Here is a 19,468-nt window from a genome sequence, read left to right as displayed (position 1 = left end):
TATTAGAATCTAAGTTCTAAGAATGTTCACTGCACCCAAAATAGTGTCTGGAACACTGTAGGAGATCAATAAATAAATATCTGTTCAATGACCCAATCAGAAGTTGCTGGGCATAGAACAGATATTTAATAAATGTTTAAGGAAAACCTTATTGACGGAAGGACTGTGTACATGCTTTATGCTAGTTTAAAAACAGGCAGAATCTTATTACTTTATTTTAAATTTGCATCTAATTATTGGTTGGATCAGACTTGGGATGTCATGATTGTTTCTTCGAATAATGTCATCTAAGTTGGGATTTAAAGGAGGAAAGAGTAAGTCAGGCAAGTAGGATTATGTATTGAACAGGTAGTTGGGAGCAGGGGAAAAGGAAAGTGCTCAAGTCAGAGAGACTAGCATGGGCAGAGGCCTGGCAGCCAGAGGAACTTCCACTGAAAGGAGTCGAATGAGACTGTGGCATGGTACGAGACAGGATAGGATAAACGATGGTAGGATGAGAGGAGAGAGATGAGGTTAGAAAAATAAGCAAGAACCAGTGTCTTCACATGCATTGTAATTGTATTGAGGATTTGGATTTTGATCTGAGGGTAACAGAGAGATACTTCAGCTTTTAAGCAGAGCATGAACAAGATCAGATTTGAACATCTGAAATTAGCTGCAAATGAGAAGATGGATTGGAGGAGGCACATCCTGAATGCAGGGGACTACTTAGAAGATGATGATTATAAACTGTGTGATATATGAAGCTGAATAATAGCAGCAGTGATTGACAGAAGTGGATCAACTGATGAGAATTTGCAGGGTTGAATAGACAGAATTTTTGGATTGTAGCAGTGTTGGTGGGGACTTGGGAGGGAGAGGAAAGAATCTAGTTTGGTGCCAAAGAACACTGAAGGCAACTGGCTTAAAGGGGTAAATTATAAAAAAAAAAAAAAAATCAAAAGGTTGATTTTAAAACACCTGTGAAATATTTTACTGTATATTACTAGTGAACAATTGGATTTATGGGTCTAGAGTTTATGATAATCTTCTGGGCTAGAAATTTAAATTTGAGCATCATCTTCCCACAGATGTGAACTGATATCGTTTAGGAAAAACATATACTCTTTACCTATATTCAACTATTGTTCATACTTTATCCCATTTGCTTTCTGTTTGTGTTCTCTTTCTCTCATAAATGTGTGTGTGTGTGTGTTATATACATACCACACACACATATATACTTATTGAACCATTTGAGTGTAAATTACATGCATCATAGCCCTTTACCTCTAAATAGGAAATGTATATTTCCTATAAATATGGGTAGTCTTTTATATAACCATAGTGTAACTTTCAACTTTGGAAAATTTCACATGAATGGAATACTTTTCTGTAATCTGTCATCTGCATTCTAACTTTGACAATTAACCCAATAATGACTCCAGAGAGCACTTTTAATTTTCAGGTTAAAGTCTTAATTCTTCTGCTATGTTGTTTTCACAATTACACAAAAACCTAAGACCTATGTAGAATAGTTGATTCTGTTTAAATTTTCCTTCCGATAAAAAAGTAATAGGTTTGAAAGAGTATTTCCTTATATTACTGAAGACCATTTCTTACAACTTTTCTATTATCTATCTACTTAGAATCCATGAGGGCAAAGCTACTATGTGATTAAAAAAGAGTTGCCCAAACTGACCTCCTGTGTATATAGCACTTGCTTTGATGCTTCTTTGTGAGCAAGAAGACTTCTCAAGGCCCAGGAAGTGCTCTTCCTTTTATTATTATTGTTGTTGTTATTATTATTATTACTTTTTTGAGATGGGCTCTTTTTTGTCCAAGCTGGTCTTAAACTCCTGGGCTCAAGCGATCCTCTCCCCTCAGCCTCTCAAAGTGCTGGGATTACAGGCATGACCCACCACGTCCCACTGCCCACACATTCTTCCTTTTACTAAGATCAACTAAGATTGAGTTATGTTATGTTTTTCTCTCTTCAAGAAAGTAAAAACAGAAAGCAATCAGGAAAGCATATGGTGGAGTGATAAGTGGGGAACAAAGTTCATTCTACAAAATGGGCTTTATGATTTCAGTCACCTTTAAGGAGTAGCAGAATTCAAATACTAAAAAATGCAATGTAGCAAGCATCAGCTAGAACTAAATTCACAATGTTGTCACTAAGAATTCAGAGTAGGACGATATAAACCCATCAGCATTCCAAACCTAACATGACCAGAGAAGCACAATGAGCAGCTTTATTTATAGGAATACTTCTGCACCCACTTGCAAAGTTGCTAAACTGGTTTCTGTTTCCTTTGTGGGTGTTTTGGTCAAAGAATAAAAGCATGTTTGGGCCTGTCACTGGGTACTGAGAGTTGATCTCTAATGACAAAGAACAGATTTATCAAGATTATTTACCTCCACAAGAGCTCTAACTTACTGTGACTCAAAGCCTCTCGCATATAGAAAAATTATTTCCTTCCCTCAGAACCCATCCTTTTCAAAAAATATGAGAAATGTACCTGGATTAATCCACAAGCCACTTCAAAGGCAGATGTCTGACAGTACTAGATCTCTGATAAAAAATAGTACACATAGCAGTCTTTAGCCTCCCACAGAAACCACCACCAAGATGACCCAACCATAATATGTTTGTCATTAGGCCATTGAAAGATTTGCCCATAAAGTACATGAGCACAGGTAAGCCTTGATAAAATGGATTTTTTTTTCATCGTTTTTGTTTGTTTGTTTTTTGCTTTTTTAGAGACAGAGGACAGGGTCTCGCTCTGTAACCCAGGCTGGAGTCTAGTGATGCAATCATAGCTCACTGCAGCCTTGACCTCCTGGGCTCAAATGATCCTTCTGCATCAGCCTCCTGAATAGCTGGGATTACAGGCACATACCACCGTGCCTGACCAGTTTAAAAAAAATAATGTTTTTTTAGAGATGAGGGTCTCACTGCATTGGTCAGGTTGGCCTCAAATTCCTAGCCTCAAGCTATACTCCTGCCTTGGCCTCCCAAAGTGCTGAGATTACAGCAATGAGCCACAGTGCCCAGTGCCCACCCTAATAAAATAGATACCTTCAAAATAAAGTCAAATGACGGGTCTAATGTAGTGGTAAAACTAGAGGCTTTAAAGAAAGACACAGCCGAGTCTGAACTCTTTGCTACATACTGTGTAGGTTTGGCTGAATTACATAAAGTTCTCTATGTCCCAGTTACCTCACTAGTAAAAAAAAAAAAGAAAAAGAAAAAGAAAAAGAAAGAGGAAATAACATCGACCTGCTAGGTCATTAAGTTGGGATTAAATGAGATAATGTATGCAAAATGTCTAAGCACAATGTCTGGCATATGGTGGCTGCTTAAAAATAGTTCCCTGCACCCTTTGGCATGCTGACAAAGACTTATTTAATGCTAAGCAGAAGGGCTGATTTAAGGCAGAAGGATCGATTTAAGGAAGAAGAGATGAGAAGGAGGGACCTGAGACCTCCAGGGAGTGATGACACAAATCAGTGAAGGAAGGCAGGAGATGGTTCTGAGGCTTTGCCTGTAGTCCAGGTAAGTGTAAGCAATCCTTGAACTTGGATAATACAGTGAGGAAGGCTACTTGAGAGGACTGTGAAAGTGTTAGTACAAGAGGGCTATTGACTCCAAATGTTGACTTATGCATGGCAGAAAGAGTGATGCTGCCCTTGCAATCAGAGGGGAGGAAGGGATAACTTATGTCAAAAATGGTCATTTGAATTCTGGAGATGTTTTCAGAGGCACACAAAATATAAGGGGAAAGTTGCCTAGCTCACAGCTGGATTGTGGTGCTTTAAGCTCGACAGAATGGCTGGCATTCAAGTTCCGCTTCTGAGGAGTCAGCTACATGTAAATAAGTTGATACCCCAGCAGTAAAATATCTTCAAGAAGGGAAGAGGTATGGAGAGAGAAGAGGAAAGTTACAGACCATGTGTATTTAGGTCAGACATAACAACCCTGCTCTTTGTTTTTCAGCTTGGTAGGCAAAGTGCCAAAACTACTGTTTGTGAAAGGTGTTGAAATGAAGCATGCTAGGGCTCTACACCCATTTGGTTTCTGGGACATTGGTCAGTTGGCATTTTCTTAACTAAACAACAAAAACCATTCAGAGAAGGGCTCTTTCTTCCTTTGGGTTAAGAACAGCAAAAACTACCATTCCTGGTGTTTTTATTTAGTAGCAGGTACTCCAACAAGGTAGGCAGAATGATGACCCCCTAAAAAATATTCTTATATTGATCCCTGGAATCTGTGAATGCTACCTTACTTGGCAAAGAGAAATTAAGGACGCAGATGGAATTAAGGTTGCAGCTGACTGTGAGATGGGAAATTATACTGAATTATCCAGGTGGGCCCATTGTAATCAAAAAGGTCCAAGTGGAAGAGGGAAGCAAGAGCTATCATATGATATCAAGAGTATCATAGTGGCCAGGTGCAGTGGCTCATGCCTATAATCCTAGCACTTTGAGAGGCTGAAGCGGGCGGATCATTTGAGATCAGGAGTTTGGTACCAGCCTGACCAAAATGGTGAAACCCTGTTTCTAGTAAAAATACAAAAAAAAAAAAAAAATTAGCCAGGCATGATGGCACATGCCTGTAATCTCAGCTACTAATGAGGCTGAGGAAGGAAAATCACTTGGACTTGGGAGGTGGTGGTTGCAGTGATCCGAGATTACACCACTGCACTCCAGCCTGGGCAACAGAGTGGGACTCTGTCTCAATAAATAAATAAATAAATAAATAAATAAAGAGTATCATAGTGATATGCTCTAAGGAAGACTTGCTGGGACATTGCTGGCTTTGACGATGGTAGGTGGCCAAGAGCCAGGGAAAGTAGGGGGCCTCTAGAAGCTAGAAAAGGCAAGAAAATGGATTCTCCCACAGGGCCTCTAGAAAGGAGCACAGACCTACTGACACCTCGACTTTAGCCCCAGTGAGATGCATTTTGGACTTCAGAATGCTGGGACTTAATATAATAAATTTGTTTTAAGCCACTAACTTTTGCATGACTTGTCACAACTGCAATAGGAAACATAATACATCTGGTAAACACTTTGCATCCCATAGTGAGGTGGGATTATCATCCACATTTTATTATTATCATCCACATTTTATTGAAAATAAAAATAGAGACTTAGAGAAGTCATATGTTGTTTCAACCTAAGTAGGAAGTGGGAGATATCAGATTTGAGGTGTTTTTTGTGTTTCCTTTATTTTATTTTTTCTTTTTCTTTTTTTGGAGACAGGGTCTCCCTCTGTCACCCAGGCTGAAGTGCAGTGGCACCATCTCGGCTCACTGCAACCTCCACCTCCCGGGTTCATGTGATTCTCCCACCTCAGCCTCCTGAGTAGCTGGGATTACAGGCGCCCACCATGCCCGCCTAATTTTTTTTTTTTTTTTTTTTAGTAGAGACGGGGTTTCACCATATTGGTCAAGCTAGTCTGGAACTCCCGACCTCAGGTGATCCACCTGCCTCAGCCTCCAAAAGTGCTGGAATTACAGGTGTGAGCCACCATGCTAGGCCCAGATTTGAGGATTTTAGGAATGCCTTTGTTCTCACCATTAAATCCTAGCTATTTCTGGTCTGGCTTTTCCCCTACAGAATGTGGTTGGCTCAATTAAAGCAGGTCACCAGGCAACTCCAGGCTGAGTCTTGTTGGAGAATAAAGTAGAATATCTGTCCTGTACAAATAGACCTAAGACAGAAACCAGATTAGCATTGCAGAAAGTCAACCATACCCTATCTGTGTGTTTTAATTGCTAGAGTTTTGATTTGGATAATGTCTTTTTAAAAAATTTTAGCTTTCAAGTATAAAATATTACAGATTTTATCTTTATGAATTATACAGCAAACTCTTCTAAAAAAGCTTGGCTTTCCCAGTGGCATCTTGTCAGCCACATGTTTTCAGCACAAAGGAACGATTTTGCCCCAGTGCAAATTAAAAGTCCCAGGCTCTCACCTCCTTCAACTTGTAAGATTTTAAGAAATCTAAGTTGAAGAGAGCATTATGTAGCATCTGACCTATTAACTGCTTGTAATCTGAGGTGGCTTTTACCCAGGATGAATGACATCCTGAGTGACCTCAAATCTTTTGTGAAAAGAAATGTGTGAATCACAGGCATATACACGTGCCCAGGCCCACACAAACACACTTACAGGCTTTTGCACACAGATAAACAGCTTCAATCATTTCTGAAATGCTTCCTTCTTAGTATAACCTTCAGGCATATTACATAAACTTTTTGCAGACAACTCTAGGAGAACAAACAAGAAAAACTTATGTCACAATTATCGAAAGATAGGCTTCTTCCATGTTATTGCAAACAGCTGTACAACCATTTGTTAAGCATCTGTTTCCTAGAAACGTTTATTCAATAAAACTCTTCCTCTCTCCTTTTTGTCTCAAGTTTAAGGTCACGCTATCAAAATATGTTAGTAAAGAAACTCAGTTTTGTTACTGGATATATTGTCTGCATCTGTCAGAGTTCAAAAGCAGTGCTTTTTAATGCTGCAAGCTTTAATACCTATAGAATTTTACAAAAAGCTAAATATCCTATCTGGTTTGGAGGATATCAATAATACTGTATACGGGTGGCTCACACTTGTAATCCCAGCACTTTGGGAGGCCGAGGCGGGTGGATTACTTGAGGTCAGGAGTTTGAGACCAGCTTGGACAACATGGTGAAATCCTGTCTTTCCCTGTGAAAGCCAAGACCCCTGACTTCAAGCATCGTGGCTTATCCCTTCACCCATAGGAGTCATAATGCTTTTGACATTTTTGCCCCTGACACATTTTTAAAAGGTGTTTGAAAATATATTTAAAGATTAGTTAGGGGTTTCAAAAGTATACTTGGTTTGTGGCCAAGTGCTATGGCACACAGTTAATAGACGGTATACACCTGCTTTTTAAAAAGTTTTCCCATTTAATCCCTGCAAGTGTTCAGGTTTCTTCTGTTTTTTGTTTGTTTGTTTGTTTGTTTTTTGAGATGGAGTCTCACTCTGTTGCCCAGGCTGGAGTGCAGTGGCACTATCTCGGCTCACTGCAACAACCGCCTCCTGGGTTTAAGCGAGTCTCCTGCCTCAGCCTCCCGAGTAGCTGGGACTACAGGCATGCACCACCACGCCCAGCTAATTTTTATATTTTTAGTAGAGAGGGGGTTTCACCATGTTGGCTAGGCTGGTCTTGAACTGCTGACCTCAAGTGATCCACCCGCCTCAGCCTCCCAAATTACTGGGATTATAGGTGTGAGCCACTGTGCCCGGCCCTGTTCTTGATTTTTAAAGCAATTTTACAGACTTGCTTTCTAAGACATCTTAAAGTACTCTTTATTAAAATTTAAAGCTCTATTCAAACCTTTCTTTTTAAGGGAGAATTACACGTTCCATATTAAAAGTTTTGGCAATATAGAAAAGCAACAAAAACAAAATAACAATCACCCATCATAAACCCATCACCCAAAGGGAGCTATTATTAAATAATACACACTCTCATTCACTTAATACACCTCTCATAACTGATTCTTGAAATACGTTGTGGAGGTTTTACTTGACAGTTTTAGCTGAAAAAGATGGTAGTATTATCTACCATATACCATTTAAAAAATACAGAAAAGCCAGATGAAAAATGTTACTGACTTTTTTTTTGCTTTTTATTTTATATAGGCAAGGTGTAAAAATAACTATACACTGTATGTTTTTAGAAAAAAGCTGATTTGTATATAAGGACAGCATCAAGGCTTTCTGATTCTAGATACAATCTCAAGAAATGTCAGAGGTAATACCCATGTTATCACAGAGGATGTGTGACTTAATGGCATCATTCTTACTAACAACAGGACCTGACTCCAGTCATACGCATGTCAAATACAGTGAGAGATGTTAGGCCAGGCAAGAAGAAATAGTACAAAACACTGAAGCATACCTTCAAGATATACAGGCTATGAAACATTAATAGAGAAGTGAGTTTTTTTACCTTTAAAATGGCAAAGATGCTTTTAAAATAATAATACCCAGTGGTGAAAATGGGGTCAACTAGCTTTCTTATATACCATTATGAGGAATGTAAATATAAATCATCTTTCTGAAGGGTAATCTAATACATTTGAATAAACCTGAAAGGATAAGAATATTCACTAGGACAACATAAAAGCAAAAAACAAACAAAACAAAATAAAACAAAAAACAAACAATAGAGGAATAAGGGACTGCACAGGGTAGAATATTTTATAATTATTAATATTTATGTTTTTACTGTTAAGTGGAGAAAAAGTAACATGAAGAAATGTACTATCATAATTTTTATAAAATAAACACATAATCATATGTAATACAACATGCATACATATATACATGTATATATACACATACATATGTATATGAAGTTCACCTAACTTCTAATTTGGTAAAATAGAATATTAATAAAACTGAACACCATCTTCCACCACTCTTGTTAACTCCACAGAACAAAATATTCCTTCCCTATTCTTTCAATATTTACTAGACAGCACCACCATCCACTCATTTGCTTATACCAAAGTTGTAAGAATCATTCTTGACGATTTCATTTCTTTCACCCTCCAAACTGTATTTATCAGCTAGCTAGCCCTGTTTCACTTCCAAAACATAATTCAAAGTCTGTCTACTTCTTTCCAAGCCACTCCAGGCCATGCTTATCTTTTGCCTAGACCACGACGGTGACTTTCTCAATGGCCTCTACTCTTGTCCCTCTCCAGTCAGTTTGGTTACAGAGAAAATCATGTCATTCCCTTTGTATGAGTTTGCTATTGCTGTGCAACAATTACTATAAATCTAGTGGCTTAGAAAAAACAATTATTTATTCTCTCACAATTTACTACCCACGGTTTTGTGGGCTAGGAATCCTGGCATGGCTTTCCTGGGTTCTCTCTAGGCTGAAATCCAGGTGTTGGCTTGGGTTGCAATCTCAGATCTGAGCCTCTTCAAGATCACTGGGCGTCATAACACATTTCCTTTCGGTTGTAGGAGTGAGGCCCTCAGCAATGAAGGGTCACCCATCACTTCTTGCCACTTGGGTTTCTCTACACAGCAATTTTCTTTAAGCCAACAGTAAAGCGCATCTACTGCTCTGAATCTCTCTGACTTCTGTCTCTGACCTCTAGAGCCTCTTTTAAAGGGCTCCCTTGACTAGGTCAGGCCCACACAGGATAATCTCCTTAAAAAACTTAATATAACTGATCAAACACTTTAATTACATTTCTAAAAAATCCTTTCACCTTTGCTACATAATGTAACCTAATCAAAATAATGATAAATCTTATTCATGTTCACATTCCCATAGGCAGGAGGAAAAGAGTACCCAGGGAATGCACACCAGAGGATGGGAATCTTGGGAACTGTGATGAACTGCCTGTTTGTGACTCCCCAGAATTCATATATGGAAACCCAAACCCAAATCCAATAGGATAATATTAGGAGACGGAGCCTTTAGAAGGTAAAATCATGGTTATATTAGGAAATGGGGGTGGAACCCATGAGGGAATTAGTGTCCTTCTAGTATATTAGATGGAAGGGCCCGGGCTCTCTCCATGTGAGGATACAAGGAAAAGATGGCTTCTACAAGCCAGCTGGAGTGCTTCACCAGACCCAGATCTGCTTGCGCCTCAGTCTTGGGCTTTCCAGCTTCCAAACTGTGAGAAATAAATGTTTGTTGTTTAAGCTACTCAGTCTGTGGTATTCTGTTTTAGCAGCCGGAACAGATAAAGACAGGAGCCATTTTAGAATTCTGGCTACCATACCTCCCATCCTACACCAGACTTGTCTCTGGGTAATGGTCTCTTGCATAATGGATATTCTTTTTAACTTTTTTGGGTATTTTCTCAAATTTCTACACTGAATATATGTTAGTGTTCTCACTTTGCAAACAGTGCCCTAAGATCAGTTATTCTGCTTAAAATCCTTCAGTGGCTTCTCACTATTTTCTTACAATACTCCAAACTCCTAATAGCCTGGAAGTCTACTAGGCTGCATGATCTGGCTACCTCCTGCCTCCCTCCTCCAGCCTCTATTTCCTTCAGAGAATTTATTAGAACATTTAATTACCATGTTTTTGTTTTCTTGATTGTATTTATTTCCCTAACTAAAATGTAAGCCCCAGGAAAGGATAGCTCTTTATGACCTTTTGTCTCCTGTATCCCAGTAATTAGACAGTGCCTAGCATGAAGAAATCAGTCAGTAAGCATGTGATGGGGTGAACCAATGCTAATGGCAAGCAGGCCCTTCTGAGATCAGCCTATATGACATGAGCCATAGAAGTAAACCTGGAATAATATAAGAAAAAGTAAGATCACATTGTACAGTTCTGAAACTGACTATATCTTCCATGAAACAAAGCATTATAATCCTCAACAGGGACAGAGTCTCAAGGAACAATCACAAAACAAAAAGAGGTCCATTGGATCCTTGTTGGTCAGAGCAATCTACTGTTAAAACTCACTAATCTGTTCTGATTTTATCCTAAAGCACAAAAGATACTACCATCACTACCACCACTAATATGATTGGCAAAGGACTTGACAGTCCCCCAAAATTCTTGCAACTGGAATTGCTCAAACAGAAGCTGAATGGCCACTGGTAGGAGTGCTCAAGAAAGAACCTAGGCCTTGGATGAGAGGTTGGAAGAAACTGTAGTCTAGGCCGGGCTAAACTGTAAGGGGAGAAAACTGGAGAGCCACAGGCCACATTGGGTTTGTGGATGGACTTTGTATGGAAGGCACAACATTTATTTTTAAGTTGATTTGAATATCTTTAAATAGGACATATGCTCTCAAATTCCCATGGTTTCCATTACTCCTATTACTTACAAGTGACAGATATGCTCATCCATTGTAACTGCTTGGCCCCAAATAAGTATATGGGTTTGCTACTCTTGGACTCTCTAAGGCAGGAGTCCTCAACCCTAGGGCCACAGACTGGTACTGGCCCTTGGCCTGTTAGGAACCAGTCTGCAAAGCAGAAGATGAGCAGTGGGCAAGTGAGCATTACTGCCTGATCTCTGCCTCCTGTCAGATCACCGGCAGCATTAGATCTTCATAGAAGCATCAACCCTATATAAACTGCACATGTGAGGGATCCAGGTTGCACACTTCTTATAAGAATCTAATGCCTGATCATCTGTGGTGGAACAGTTTCATCCAGAAACCATCTCCCCAACCCCCAACACCCCTACCCCAGGTCCCTGGAAAAATTGTCTCTCTGGTCCCTGATACCGAAAAGGTTGGGGACTGCTGCTCTAAGGTTTCTTCTGGCACCTGAATATAAAGGACAAGGTAATACGTTAAAAGAGTTGTTGGCATGGAGGAATATAAACTTTACACTAAGGATAATCATTTTATGGATGACTTGCAAATCCTTCCTCTACGCTTTATCCTTGACATTCTAGCACATGAAATCTAACTTGCATTACTTAAGCTTCTGGCTTACTTTGAAGATTTTATCTGTTATCAAAATATTAACCTAACCTTTTCCAGTAAGAAATTTGACAACAATCCAATACACATGTGGATCAAAAGAAAATTAAAGAATCTCCTTTTGTTCCTGGTTGAGGAATAAATATGATCCAGGTCAGACATTAGAAGGAAAAAATATATATAGTAAGAAGTCTCTCTAATCATGAAATATTGAATTCAGGCTCAGCATCCTTTTTCATTTTTGACCACTGAGTTACAATTACATTTGATTTTAAAAGTGCACACTTTTAAACTACTCTGGTTGAGTAACTTTGTGTCCTGCCACCAGTTTTCACCATCTGAGGTGCTGCATTAGCTTCTGTTAAAAGAAATACTGACATTTTCATCTTTCAGTAATAAATAGCAACTGGGGAGAAAGAAAACTACTCATTGTGCATGAGAAGGAGGCAATGTCATCCTCACATTTGCCTTTCAGCTAGGCTCCTTAAATGAAATGAGGCCTACTAAATGAAGCCACTGAACTTGTCTACAATGTCCCCTCTTTCTCATGTGTTTATAATTTTCTCCAAAATAAAAGCTAATTTTTAAAATAATTTCCCAAGTTTTATCAAATGAAACCTGAAGGTAATACTTTTTAAAATTAAGGACACGAGAAATAATTCTTTACAAATTCAGCTTCTATTTCAGGTAATTATATTTGCTTAAAATATCAGGGGCCTCCTCTTGTTTTATTTTATTTTTTTTCTGAGGCAAAATATCCCTCACTTGTGAGATTAAGTTTTTGAAGATATTGTTCAATGGTGAAGTTTACACTAAAATTTCATCCTGAATGTATTCCAACTGGACTATGTAAATATGAATATTAATCACTTCAAAATTAGCAATTGTTCAGCTCATGACTTCTGTTTTCTATGGATATTTGTAAACTTTCCAAAAATATTAAAAGGCATTAGTTAGAATTACTATACAGCTTATATAATATGTAGCTTAAAAACAGTTGTCTTTTGAATTTTGGACATGTCGGTTCCTGAAAGCAGGAATCAAACCACAGTGAGCACACTGGGCTTGCTTCCACAGAGGAAGCAGGGAGGACAATCGCAGAACTGTGAAATTGCCAGACATTGATTGGTAAGTTATTATCAAAACTGGAGGAGTTTTAGAGAGGCCCACAGAAAGAGAGGCAGGAGTTACCTTTCCTCCTGTAGTGATAGAGCTGTGATAAGGACAGGAAGCACCTGGCAGGAAAAACTGAAGTTAGCAGAAGTGAGTCTGAAGGAGATACCTTATAAGACATTAAACTTTCAGAGAAGCCATGTGTTAAGCCACTAATCTCTCATCTTGAAAGGTCAAGAAAAAAATTCAAAAAGGGGAGAAAAGGCTGACCTAGATTACGGATTTCACCCTATCTAAGCTTCAAGCTCCTCCACAAGTTTAAAAGGTTTGGATGAGGGGTGGGGACCATCATGTAGGACTCTAAAGGAGAAATATTAAGAGAAACTATAGTGGCCAGGAGGTGCCTGTGGAACAGGGGGAAGGCCCTGGACTCAGATGATTTTGTATGAGAGGTTCTAGCACTGGGAAATAAATGATGCCCAAGTGGAGACTGGGATAATCTTTAGAGGGTGGCCAGAGGAGGTGACAAAAAATAGTATGTGCAAAAGTCCAAAGGCAAGAAAGGGAGAGCTTAGCAAATAGTGAAAGGAAGTAGCTAGATATTGGGGCAGTGTGGGCAGTAAAGAGGAAATTAGCAAGAGATGCTGTGGAAATGAAGCAGAAGCCAGATCGTGAAGGGCCTTGTGAATAGTGATCAGAGATCTGGGGAATGGGGAATCCGAGGGGCAATGTGGGATCGCTTAAGGGGGAGTGACTTAAGCAAACCTGTAAGCTTCATCTTTTCACCTAGAATATGGAAATAATTCCACCTGTCTCAATGAGTTATAACGAACATCAAATAAAAATGTGTGAGAAGAACTTTGCAAGCTAAAAGCTTGAGAGAAAACTATTTTTTAAATAGTCCTTTCCCTTATTGTACAAATATAAAATACCCAAAACAGATATTCTTTAAGCAGTTTATTTTGTAGAACTGTTTGTGTTAAATTTGTCTTCCTTTCTTAGTCCATTCAGCCTGCTATAACAAAAATATCATAAAATGATTGTGGCTTACAAAGAACAGAAATCTATTTCTCATGATTCTGGAGGCTGAGAATTCCAAGATCAAGGTGCCTGCAGGTTCTGGAAGGAGCCTGCTTTCTCACAGGCAGACATCATCTCACTCTAACTTCACAGGAGTGACGGGGTCTCTCCTGAGCCTATTTTGTAAAGACACTAATCCCATTTATGAGGCCTCTGCCCCCATGACTTAATCACCCCCCCAAAGGCTCACCTTTGAACAGCATCGTCTTGGGGTTTAGGGTTTCAGCATATGAATTTTGGGGAGACATAAACATTCAGACCATAGCACTTTCCCTCTTTGTTTTAAAGATGTGTTCTATGAGGTGTACATACCACGTACTAGTTCTTTTTTTTGTTTGTTTGTTTTTGAGGTGCAGTCTCGCTCTGTCCCCAGGCTGGAGTGCAGTGGTGCGATCTCAGCTCACTGCAGCCTCCGCCTCCCAGGTTCAAGCCATACTCCTGCCTCAGCCTCCTGAGTATCTAGGACTACAGGTGCACACCACCATGCCCAGATAATTTTTGTATTGTTAGTAGAGACGGGGTTTCACCATGCTGGCCACAATGGTCTTGATTTCCTGACCTCATGATCCACCCGTCTCAGCCTCCCAAAGTGCTGGGATTACAGGCGTGAGCCACCGCACCCGGCCCCATCCACGTACTAGTTCTTTACCATTTAACGTATACTACTTGGATAAATGGAGAGAACCATTGACTCTATGGAGTGGGAAAGTCAATTAAAAAAACACCAACCTCCTCTCTATGAGTCATTGCTGAAAAGTCACCAAGGCCCACTCTGACCTCTCTAAAAATACAATGTGTACACCCTCTATTTTTGATCCCTCTTAACCTGCTTCAATTTTACTTCTTCCATTGCACTCATTTGCTTCTAATTTGCTGATAAATTTATTATTTATTAGTACTGGATTGTAAGCTCCTTGATGGCAGGGCTCTTCATAAGTTTGTTTGTTTTTTTGAGACAGAGTGAGACTCTGTGTCCCCAGGCTGGAGTGCAGTGGTGTGATCTCAACTCACTGCAAACTATGCCTCCTGGGTTCAAGTGATTCTCATGCCTCAGCCTCCCAAGTAGCAGGGATTACAGACACACACCACCATGCCCAGTTAATTTTGTATTTTTTAGTAGAGACAGAGTTTCCCCATGTTGGCCAGGCTGGTCCCAAACTCCTGATCTCAAGTGATCTGCCCACCTTGGCCTCCCAAAGTGTGGGGATTGTAGATGTGAGCCACTGCATCCAGCCCTTTCATCTGTTTTGATAACCTGTTGATCTTGTGTGCCTAGACTGATCTTTGGTATTAGTAGGTGCTCAATAAATATTTATTGAACAAACGGAATGAATAAAAGAAAAGAAGCGTCAGTAGAAAGTTTTGCTAAAATTTATATTTAAAAATAAATGATAACTTGAAATTACAAAATTAGGAGAAGGAAGAAATATTTAGAATTCATTTTTCAAAAATCTAAATCCTTATTCAACACTTTCTTTTTCAAGGGTTCATATTCACCAGTCTCCCCTGACCTGCACCTGTAGCTAGACATGCTACAGATTCCATTTCCAAAAATACTCAAATGTGTACTGAATTCTAATTTCAGCAAGTTTTGAGAATTTGAATACTGCTCTAGGAGTTTTACCTGGCACAAATGTTTATGGGATATGCTGCATCTCTATGAGGCATGTGGGATTATTTACAAGCAAGGAAGAAAGGCTATTTCCAGCATTATTCCATGCTGGTAAAAGTGACCAGAAAACAAACAAACAAGATAAATGCTGCCTTTCTTCCTATTTTCCCCCCATGAGTTACAGTTCTAGCACTCTTTCGTTTTCTTTTTCTTTTCTTTTTTTTTTTTTTTTTTTTGAGACGGAGTTTCACTCTTGTCGCCCAGGCTGGAGTGCAGTGGTGCAGTCTCAGCTCACTGCAACCTCTGCCTCTCGGGTTCGAGTGATTCTCCTGCCTCAGCCTCATGGGTAGCTGGGATTACAAGCGCCCACGACCATGCCTGGCTAATTTTTGTATTTTTAGTAGAGACGGGGTTTCGCTATGTTGGCCAGGCTTGTCTCGAACTCCTGACCTCGTGATCCTCCCTCCTTGGCCTCCCAAAATGCTGGGATTACAGGCGTGAGCCAGCGCACCCGGCCAGTTCTACACTCTTAAGGAGAAATGATACTTCTTTAAACAGAGAAGGTAATGATCAGACTGCTTTTTAACAAAGCAAAATGATAGTTCTGTGCATGCTTCTTTCTCAGAGTCTAGAGAACAGAAGTTGGTTATAATTTTAAGGCAAGGGTTGCAAACTGGTCGTCCACACAAAGAAGACTGTGGTTTTGCCTATATGTTTCAAAAGCTTTTTTGAATTGATTGACAACATTTAAAGAATAGAAAGTGTTTCATAAAAATGCAGAACATCAACTTCCACTGAAAAATCTAGCAGCAATGGGCAGGCATCTGCAGAGCAACAGCTTAACAGAGCTAAACAAGAGCTGCCTCTTTCATCACTCTGATACTTTCCAGTTCCAACAATTCCCCTGCCAATTTCCCTCTGATGTAGTACTTGCCCTTACAGACAAGGGGCATTGTGTAAATACTGAGCACCTTCCAAGGGAGGAGAGCCCGGCTCTGGTTCATTTGTGCCCACTCTGCTATGTTTCATAGGTCAGTTCTGAGTCTTAGCAGCAATATGAATCAGTTCATTCTTATCAGTATCCCTGTGCTCCAGATTCCATGCCTCACAGTCTTGCTGGTCGCCTCCTCTTATTTTTTTAGGTGCCAAAACTTTATTTTCAACTAAACTTGCTCTGAGAAGAGATTATGTACTCACACTGAAGGCAGAAAGGCAGATGAGAACACTAGGAGGTCTGAAAACAGGAGGTACAACTCTCAACTAATAAGGTTCTGAAAACAAAAGCAGCAGTTAAGGGTGGGTTCCCAAGGCTTCCGTGGGGGTCTGACATGATTCTTCCAGTCTTGCATGTAACAAAGAGGACTATCCCCAGCTTTGCTGGTTTTAGGACCACTTATACAAACTTCCAGTGGAAACAGACGATGAATTAATCATTTAATTTCAAATTAATTTCAAAGATGACAAGGAGGTCCTCTTACATAGAAACATTGGTGCTGACATACCCTTATTAGAGTTTCACTTTAATGGGGACTAAGAAGAAATCAGCTCCCAAAATAGAGACACATGTCCTTTACACTGCTAGCTGGAGAAAAAAAAAATAAAGCCTCAGCAATTGAATACACCCTTATATTTTACTTCCCCTGGATATTGTGACCTTTGCTGAAAATATGTCATCAGCAATCTTAACAAAAGTCCTCAAGGTTTCTAAACCATGGTATCATAGACTGTGGTGCACTGCAGTGTCCTAACACTTCAACATAACGGCCTGTTCCAGTTTGACGTACCTTAAATCTGTCATCTACGCTTTGTTTCCCTCTTTTTACACAAACCACAGCCTATCAAGCAATTGAGATATGGTGGCTGTGCAGGGGGGCTTGGCAGGATGTCCAATCCCATTCCTTTCTGCATATAGCCTTGGTAAATGAGTAAAGCATACCATAAACCTTGAGTTTTTCATCTTACTTTCCACAACTGGACTTAGTTAAATCAGAATCTATTATTATTATTATTAGAGATGGAGTCTCGCTCTGTCGCCCAGGCTGGAGTGCCGTGGCGCGATTTCTGCACACTGCAAGATCTGCCTCCTGGTTCACGCCATTCTCCTGCCTCAGCCTCCCGAGTAGCTGGGACCACAGGCGCCTGCCACCACACCCGGCTAATTTTTTGTATTTTAGCAGAGACGGGGTTTCACCGTGTTAGCCAGGATGGTCTCGATCTCCTGACCTCATGATCCGCCCGCCTTGGCCTCCCAAAGTGCTGGGATTACAGGCATGAGCCATCGTGCCTGGCCAAATCAGAATCAATTATTAATAAAAAGGTTTGATAAAATATCTACTATGTGTATACTTCTATTGCTAGATGTGATGTGCTGTTTCGGATGCAAAGATGAAAGAAATCAATTCTGGATCCACTATTTTATATGATATCTCTATACAAATTAGACAAAAAAGGACTCTCCCCTTCATGGGTGCAGCCTGTGTCAGGGAGCTCAGTTTGGTTAGCAGAGTTCCGGCGGGTCGGGTGCCCTTGTGAAGGAGTCAACGTGCATACTTATACAGGATGGCCTGAAAGTCCTAGCCCTTGATCTCAAGATTGGGATCTAACAGTCCGTGAGGTAGGCAGTCAAATAACAGATATCCTAGGACAGAGGTTAACACAGAAAAGCTATACTTGAAATATACAGAGTTCAAAGGATGGAAATTATATAATTGAAGAATCCGGGAAAGCTTCACAAAAGAAATCTTAAAAGGCAGGCTGCAATGGAAAGGAGAGGACTCAAGGAAGGGATTCTAAACAGAGGAAAACACCTGAAAAAGGAACAGGAGACTGTAGGGGTCACATTTAGAAAACATGGAGTTCAGTATTGCTAGCGTTTATGCAATGTCTATATAAATGGTAGAAACAGGAAACTCTTATCCTACCATCTGTTTTCCTTTCAACATCCAGAGTGAGCTCCTTATACCATAAATCAGGTTGGTGCTCTGATTGAAATCCTTCAATGGCTTCCTCTTGCAATTTAGAATAAAATCCAAGCTCCCTACCATGACCTGGCCTCTGCTAGTCTTCTGCATGCTCCTTTAGTACAATCATATGGGATGGTTTTTGTTTGCTTGTTTGTTTTTCCCTATACCTTGCTATACCAAACTCACTTCCACTTCCAGGCCTTTGTGCTTGCTCTTCCCTTAGATCTTCAAAAGCCTGGCTTCTTCTCTTCATTTCACTGTTGCCTTCTCAGAGCAGACTACCCTAGACACTTCTGGAGTCAGAAGTGGCTTGGTTTCGAATCTTGGTTCCATCACTTAGGATCATTCTAGCCCTGCCTCAATATCTTCATCTGTAAAGTGAAGTAGCTATTTGCAGGTTGCAGTGAGAATCAAATGAAAGAAATCATGGAAAGCACTGGGAACAGTGCCTTGAATTCCATGTTCTCCTAGTACTCCAGAAATCTTTATCATTGTTACTATTTAATACATCTATTATTCTCTTAAATTATTTATTGATTTTTTCTTATTTATTGGCTGTTTACTCACACAAGAATATGAGTTATGTAAGTGCAAAGATCTTGATTTTCACTTCTCCATTTTGAGTACTTCTACGTAGGCACACAGTAGTTTGTTGACTTTTAATTTAATAGGGAAAAGGCAATATGGTAAAGCAGGAAGAAGTGACTTTTCCATAATCTAAATCTTCTACTATCCATGTCATCCAGATCACTTTCAGGGCCTCAGTTTTCTCCTCAGTATGATTTTATAATCTGGGTGACAGACAGTGTTAATTTTGAGTACACGTGAAGAAGGAAAACGATGTATCAGGCAGCAGGGGGCAGCAGTGTGTCGGAAATGCCGCTGCAGCTCTCACGCCAGGTGTCCCCTCATTTACCATTTTATGAATAACCTTGCGTTTAAATTTCCCATCAAGTTATTACATCCTGTGAGATAAAGAACGGATGTTTTCAGAGAAATGGATTGTAAAATGTCTTTTCTTTCTGTAAAAATGGAGTTTTCAATTCAAGGATCAAGAAAAACTCATTTTTGGTTTCTTATTTCATCCAACTGGGAAACAGTCATGGGACCCTCCCCACTCCCCCAATAATTGGGTGGGTAGTGGTGGTGGTAGCAATATTTATGATTCCCAGCTGTGTTATGTTTACCAGCTGTGTGACCTTTGGAATGTTGGAAATAAGTGGTAAAAGGTAACTTATCTATAATTATACATT

At 39.8% G+C, this 19,468-nt stretch overlaps 1 protein-coding gene and 1 long non-coding RNA gene across 9 annotated transcripts in view, besides 1 other annotated feature; one reads left to right on the top strand and one right to left on the bottom strand.

Moving 5' to 3' along the window:
- OXR1 (oxidation resistance 1) overlaps nt 1–19,468 on the bottom strand; it is a 482,517-nt gene that overhangs the window by 141,656 nt on the left and 321,393 nt on the right. The window lies entirely within an intron of this gene.
- OXR1-AS1 (OXR1 antisense RNA 1) overlaps nt 1–19,468 on the top strand; it is a 140,687-nt gene that overhangs the window by 46,682 nt on the left and 74,537 nt on the right. The window lies entirely within an intron of this gene.
- Nucleotides 2,255–2,364: an enhancer, noted in NCBI's record as "active region_27800". NCBI's record gives its function as "activates an Ori minimal core promoter by ATAC-STARR-seq in GM12878 lymphoblastoid cells {active_cell/tissue: GM12878}" and the evidence as "EXISTENCE:reporter gene assay evidence [ECO:0000049][PMID:35858748]".

The sequence above is a fragment of the Homo sapiens genome, chromosome 8, assembly GCF_000001405.40.
Source record: "Homo sapiens chromosome 8, GRCh38.p14 Primary Assembly".
NCBI classification, from domain to species: Eukaryota; Metazoa; Chordata; class Mammalia; order Primates; family Hominidae; genus Homo; species Homo sapiens.
This window is presented reverse-complemented; position numbering and strand designations above follow the sequence as displayed.